General features: G+C 43.2%; 1 annotated feature.

The window, feature by feature from the left end:
- Window positions 1,044-1,217: a silencer, noted in NCBI's record as "fragment chr2:174857477-174857650 (GRCh37/hg19 assembly coordinates)". NCBI's record gives its function as "represses an EF-1alpha promoter that drives an FKBP-Casp9 reporter gene in an ReSE screen in K562 erythroleukemia cells {active_cell/tissue: K562}" and the evidence as "EXISTENCE:reporter gene assay evidence [ECO:0000049][PMID:32094911]".

Below are 7,401 nucleotides of genomic sequence, written 5' to 3'. Positions count from 1 at the left end.
CTTTTACAAACTGGAGGGGGCATGAATTTCTAGATAGCGTTAAGTGGTCATATCAAAGTATAACCCACGGCTTCAATTTGGTCTGTCAAAGATGGAATTAAAAGTAAATTTGAAGTTTCACAACATAGTTCTCTCTATTATGGGTGCTTCTGTGCATTAAAATCATCTGTATGAGGCTCACTGGGATGGGCAGAGATTCAATCACTGCTAATGGCTTAAGGAAATGGGGTGGTGAGAATTAGGGTCATCTATCCCAATTGGGGCAAGAAGGAGAGCTAGAAAATGTTTTTCAATCTTGACATCTTGCCAGCTGGAGCTGAAGGGAAATGTTTTTCTGAACTCATTGAGCAGCCTACTCACAAATCATAGAGATAGCTGCATTCCATGAGAATATATATAATTTTTATGTGGTCTAGTTAAAGACTTGTACCACCCACTCAGAGTTGTGCAGAGCACTCCTCAGGGACCCTTGAAACTACACCACACCACGAGGTAGAAGCCCACTTTAGCAAATGCCATGGTCATGGGTTTTATGCAGTGAGGCTATTTGCATATCTCCAGTAACAGTTTGGAATATTACAAGAAAAATACAACATGGCAGATGCACCCACCAAATTCTGCATATTTAGTCATCAGTAGATAACTAAGATATTGTCCATAGGTATGATATTTAGGTGTGGTATCTTTTGAAATACTTATTTGGTGTTAAGTAGTCTTAATAAGAATAAATATTCTAAATAGGTTACAAATGAACTTTTTCTTTTCAAAAAAACTTTAATCCTACAATCTCGTCCAGTTCATTTTTTTTTTTTTTTTTGAGACGGAGTTTCGCTCTTGTTTTTCAGGCTGGAGTGCAGTGGCGCCATCTTGGCTCACTACAACCTCCACCTCCCAGGTTCCAGTGATTCTCTTGCCTCAGCCTCCCATGTAGCTGGGATTACAGGCACGCGCCTCTACGCCTGGCTAATTTTTTCTATTTTTAGTAGAGATGGGTTTTACCATGTTGGCCAGGCTGGTCTCAAATTCCTCAGGTGATCCACCCGCCTCGGCCTCCCAAAGTGCTGGGATTACAGGCGTGAGCCACTGTGCCTGGCCTCATCCTGTTCTTAAGACCAGCCTGGGACAAGGGCAGAACGGATAATTATGACAATGTTACAATGTTACAGGTGAACAAAGAGAAACGGTAAATGACTTGCCCAAGGTCACGAAGCCTATAAGGAGTAGAAGTAGGACAAGAATCCTAGTGGCCATTACTATTATTGTGATGATTATTATATTGACTCCATGACATACTTCTCTGATTGCTCTGCTCTGCTGTCCTGTATGAAGAGATTTCAGTAATGCGTGTGCCCCAGAGCGGCTTTAGTCTACCCTGGGCTGAGGAGTAGGGTGGCACTGATTGGGTCCTTGCCTTTGGTGCAGATATGGGCTGAAAACCTGGACTTACCTTCCTGGCCCATTTCTTAGTTTTGTTTGTGGCCAGGTATGAGTAAGATGGTTAGAACTGGGGCCCTTTTCACATTTCATGTTTTTCTGGTTTCTAAAAATGAAAATGGCAAGAAATCCCTGCAGCAGGAGTATTTGTTCTAGGCAGGGTATTTCCTGCCAGTTTCCTCCAGGAGGAAGATTTACCTTTAGGGCAGTCACGCTCCCCATCCTAGGTATGTGATTGCTCTGACACCTTTTGAAGCTACATCAGATTCAGCCTTTCAGGCGTGTCCTGGTCTGACTATTGGATTGGAGTGCAAATGCAGTAGATTGCATGAATTAATTTTATTTAAAAAAACAAAACAAAACTGTTCTTAAAGCTGGGAGGTGCACACATTTGCCAATATTATCCTGAAGCTTTAAGGGCCCTCCCAGCCCCAGGGGAGTTGGGCTGGCTGGCTTGACTGCAGTAAGAAGCTGTGGTGACCAGCACGGACTGACGCATGCTGGTTTGACGGTGGGACAGCATCTGGCACAAGCCCTGGCAGTTCATTATCTGAGATCACTCACTTGCATTTGGTCTTTGCTTGAATTTCTTTTGGAAAAAAAGAAGAGAAACACACCCCAAATTCCAGGTAATGGAACATCATTAAATTGGAGGCACCAAGGTTGTGAGAATGGGGAGGATTTTCACTGGACAAGAAAATGTAAAACACCCTTGCTCCTCCATAGCTGGAACTCAGCCATATTGCACGTCTGCATTAATCTGGCTGGTTGTTCTGAGGGCAAGGACCTGAGTTTTGGATGCTCACGAATCAGAGAACGGTGCCAGGGGAAACCCAGAGTTGCATTTAGCAACTCTACCCAGAGAATGCAAAATACACCTTCCTGTTCAGTCCCCTTTACACATTACTTAGACGTGGTGGACTCCCAAAGCTGCAGGGGAAGGCATGACTTCGAAAGTCTCTAACAGGCTCTACGAACATGCTTTCCCACATAAACACTGAGACATCTGGGGAGAAAGGGGGGGAAAAAAGAGGGGTGGAGGCAGGGAGACCTCTAGACAGAATAAGCCAAGAGCGCAACAGCAGCTGTGAACGTGCCAGAGGCAGGCAGGCAGAGAGCCAGGATTCTCTGAGCAAAAGCTAAGCAGCAGGGCAAGCCACTCTCCCAGCAGAGTCACTGGCCTGGAAGTGTTGGATGGTGCCCACCAGTTGCCTAAGCAACCAGGGGGTGTCTAGAATTTCTGGGGGTTCGTTTAAGCTCTGGACCCCAAGAGGGGACTTCTTTATTCTTTCCTAACTGCATGGAGAACAGTTGGAGGGTCTGAAGGGACCATGTGGGTTGGGCTCTGAGAGCTGCTTCCTCCTCGGCTAGCAGAGTCTCTGGCCGTTGTGGATGCGTCAGTGCAGTAGCTCTGTGGCTCTCAAGCTGGGTTCTGCATGGAAAATCATATTCGTTACTGTATCCTAATAATTTGGCATGGGTGGGACTTAATTTTTTAGTTGTTGACTCAAGGTCTCTGATGCACAGGCTGGAGTGCAGTGGTTCAATCACACCTCTCTGCAGCCACCAACTCCTGGGCTCAAGCAATCCTCCCACCTCAGTCTCCCAAGTAGCTGTGACTACAGGTGTGCACCACCTTGCCTGGCTAATTTTTGTATTCTTTGTAGAGATGAGGTCTTGCTATGTTAGTTGCAGACTCCTGGCCTCAAGCAATCCTCCTGCCTTGGCCTCCCAAAGTGCTGGGATTATAGGTTTGAGCCACCGCACCCGGCTTAATTTTTAAATTGTCCTTTGCTGGCTGGGGATCATGTTCTTCTCCCTAGAGTCTCTGCATCACAGTTCTCGAGTCTCCAGCATCCTCCAGCACTTATGATTTCCCTTTTCCCACCCCAGCAGGAAAGAAACTGAGCATGCTGACACTTATAGTATCTCATCCTCAAATCCTCGGAGGCCCAGTCCTCGAGAGAGGTGGTAGCCTTATCTACACCAGCTGTGTGCAGCCCACATCCACAGAGGGGTAGGGAGAGAGCCACAAACACAGCCTCCTCCACTCCGTGGCACCCCCTCTCTTTTCAACCCTCTTCTTTTCTAAAACTAACTGCATTCCCTAGGCCGCCTTATTTTATTTCCTGGCTCCCAGAAATCTTTAGTGTGAGAACAGGCAGAGGAATCTCCTGGGGTGTATTTGGAAGGAAGGGAGTAAGCTCGGGGTTGGATAACTTCCACAAGCGGAATCTCAATCAGTGGTTCTTAACCCTGCTGCACAATAGAATCATCTGGGAGCTGTTAAAAAAATTGCAACGCTCAGGCCGAGGCCCAGAGATTTGGTTCAATGGGTCTAAATAAAGGTTTTGTTTAAAACATTTTTTTTGACAAAGATATTTTTAAAAACAACTCTCAGAGATGAGAAGCACCGACCTAAAGGTGAGTAGCTTGGGCATAAGCACAGGAAAGTCTCCTGTGTGCTGTGTGATGGGTCTGAACCTTATTCATCTGCAGGAGGCCTCTCAGTTTGGGCTGGTCAAGCAGCTGTGCTTGTTGGCAGAGACAGCTTGCTTCCTCCCTTTATCTACCAGATACACCCTCTTCCTTGGCCTAAACTTGAGGGAGGTGATGTTGGGTACAAAGACCCCAATTCTGTGGCATCATTACAGCAAGAAAGTTTTTGAGCAGTCGGCAGAGGAGAAATACTACTTCAGAGCACTGGGAGGGAGGGGGGTGGCTGACTTTTTTTCTAGGTCTAAAATAAAACCCAGAGGATGGGCGGGATGAAGACAAAAGGAGGGATGAAACAGAAGTGAAACAGCAGATAGAATCATGAACGAAAATGAGAGCATCCAGAAAGACTAAAAATTCTCATACACCTGTTCTTTGAACATCTCAGAAAGTTGGTCTTTTGACTCAAACAATTAAAATTACAAGTGGCCTTCCTTGGAAATCTGTCTCAAATCTCTGAATAGCTATAGCTCTGGCAGCTGCGTTGGGACAGTTATTTCAGTGTCCCAGAGGAAAGATATTTTGGGGTTTAGTCCTTGCCAGAAATAAGAAGCCAAGGGAAAAGGAGAAACATTACAGAATTTCCAAAAATATTTTGATAGCAATGCAAAACTTTGTAGAGGCTTGAAGAAAAACTAGAATACACTCTTATTTTAAGGACGCCTAGTGGACTGGCTCTGTATTTTGGCCAGTAGATTATTATGTTTGTCAGATATTCGGAAGGGCCTGTAAGTTCATGGATATACACATTTGAGTGTGTGTGTATACTGTGTGTGTGTGTATTTGTATGTATGCGTGCATTGGTTTATAATATATGTTCTCAGTCACTGTTGTGATTTGTATATATGGACTAGATTAGTTTTATTTAAGTTTTAAAATAATATAGGCCTTTTCCTATTTAGGAAAATGAGAGCGATAACATCAGGTAAGTCTGGTGGGAAAGTTAAACAGGGAAGTCTTCAGTTAGAGATTTAAAGTTGGACTATACCACTTAAGCATCAAATAAGACCTGACCCATCTGCAGTCATCAAGGCAGTTCTGGCTCATTACCGTACTCAAGAACCTTTTGTAGGTCTGGCTGGGAAATCATTTGTTCCTAAGAAAGCTTGCTGTTTTTCTCCTCCAGCCTTTCTTCCCTGTACCAGCTCCTACGTCCCTTGCATTGCTTAGGAAAAGTCTCTTTCTTTCTCTTCTTTCCTTCTTTTTTTTTTTTTTTTTTAGAGATGGGGTCTAGCTCTATCACCCAGGCTGAAGTGCAGTGGTACGATCATAGCTCACTGCAGACTCCAACTCCTGGCCTCAAACTATCCTCCCACCTTAGCCTCCCGCACAGCTAAGACTGCAGGCACGCGCCATCCTACCTTGCTTGGAAGAGTTTGTTTCTACTGTGTCCCAGTCTTAGTGGTTAAAGGACTTTGCTTCTCCCCCAGCAGTTTGGCAATAAGACTGTTTAATGGGTTCTCATTTTTATTAGTGAAAACTATTATTGTTCTGTAATATTTTATTTGTTACAATGTGTTCATTTTCTCCACTAACACCCAAGGGCGGTGTTGTACAGGGTACAGTTTTGAAAATAAAAAATAAAAATAAAACAACGTTAATTATGCCTTAAAGGTTGGCAGATGTGGATTTAAGAATTATTACATTGTACAGGTATCCCTCAGTCCTGTGCATGTTAATAAATATCTTTCCATCAGTCAACTTGTCTGGGCAGCCAAATCTGTAGAATCAGTTTTTGATTAAAGCTACCAAAAGTGGCAAAGCTTTGCTTATCTCAGCAAAGAAGGTTTTCATGCAATTTGGGACAGAGGAATAAACATTTCCGTGGTAAAAAATAAAAGTACAGGGTTTGAAGGAACAAGATTTTCTTAAGTCATCCAAGTGTGAGGCCCTGAAGGATAGGTAGCTAATACTGAGTAGAATTCAGATTGGAGTTCTCCTCCAGAACTCAGCAATTGAGTAAACAATACGTTATCTGCTCCATAAAGTGTGTAAAACAAACTCACCCTAGTGGCTCTCTTTTTAACTTTCTCTGTGATAAGGAAAAGAAATTGTATATTTATTTAAAAAGAATGAATGAATGAATGAAAGACTATTTTCATTCACATGATTATACCTGAAGGAATTTGTTTTGTTTCTTTGAATTTTAAAATATTGACACTGGGGCTGGGCATGGTGGTTCACACCTGTAATCCCGGCACTTTGGGAGGCTGAGGTCAGGAGTTTGAGATCAGCCTGGCCAACATAGTGAAACCCTATCTCTACTAAAAATACAAAAATTAGCTGGGCATGGTGGTGGGCGCCTGTAATCCCAGCTACTTGGGAGGCTGAGGCAGAAGAATTGCTTGAACCCAGGAGGCGGAGGTTGCAGTGAGCCGAGATTGTGCCACTGCACTCCAGCCTGGGCAACTGAGCAAGATTCCATCTCAAAAGAAAAAAAAAAATTGACATTGGTAACATGTAAGCCCCCCAAAGCATAGTTTCAAGTTCATGTTGTTACTAAATTTAAAATTGAGCTTAATTAAGGAAGTTTTATAGTTAAATGCTAATTGATAATGATAATTAAAATTTTACAGTGCTGTACAGTTTATAAAAAGTGTTCATATGCTTGCTTATTTAATTTTCACAAACCTAGAGAGGAAGATCAGAGAAGTTTTATTATCTCCACTTCGTGGGTAGAAAAGCCTCAGGAAAGTTAAGGAACTTGCCCCAAGCCATAAAACTGGTACCCTGAAGAAATTAAATCTAACACGAAACCCATGGTCTTGTTTAATTGCTAATGGATTCATTGGTAAGGACAGTTGAAAGCTAATGAGTGTCGGTATCTTGGATCATATGGTTTCTTATTAAAGTTTTAAATTTTGTTAGGGTTTTCTCAGATGGTAAGCAAGCTTAAGCTTCCCATGGTTTCAGTTCTCTCTGTCCCATATTCATCAGAACTGTTGGCTCAGGCAGCTGTTGTTCCTGGTCCCAATATTGAATGAGATCTAGAAAAATTCTTTCCTCTTAGCATAGTCCAGCCCAGCTGTGACAACATTGGACCCTTTCGAAATTGGCTCATCCTAGTAAACTGGGTAAACAATTACGAAAGCATATAAATGGATGAGTTGATGGAACAAAGTTTTTTAAATTCTAACTTAACTATTGCCTGGCCTATATCTGCAGCAGCTTTCAGGACACCCAACACCAGCTTCCTTGCCTTGATTTCATCCTGTTTGGGGTGATGAAGAAGATGTGATACCAAAGTACTCAAGATTTCCCATCTAACAAGAAATCAGTCCTCTCTATTGTACTCTTAAGCATGAGCTCTGTCTGATCACGCATCCTGCTGTAGTCACTTCTGTTCTTCAGCCACCTTTGGCACTTCTGTTAGACCTCACAGGGCATGTCATCTAATGTGACAGAAAAGCACTAGGCTGAGAGGAAGGAAGCAGGGGACAGACACATCTACATCTCTCTGTGTGACACTTG

The sequence above is a fragment of the Homo sapiens genome, chromosome 2, assembly GCF_000001405.40.
Source record: "Homo sapiens chromosome 2, GRCh38.p14 Primary Assembly".
NCBI lineage: Eukaryota > Metazoa > Chordata > Mammalia > Primates > Hominidae > Homo > Homo sapiens.
The sequence above is the reverse complement of the archived record's forward strand: the minus strand, read 5'-3'. Positions and strand labels throughout refer to the sequence as shown.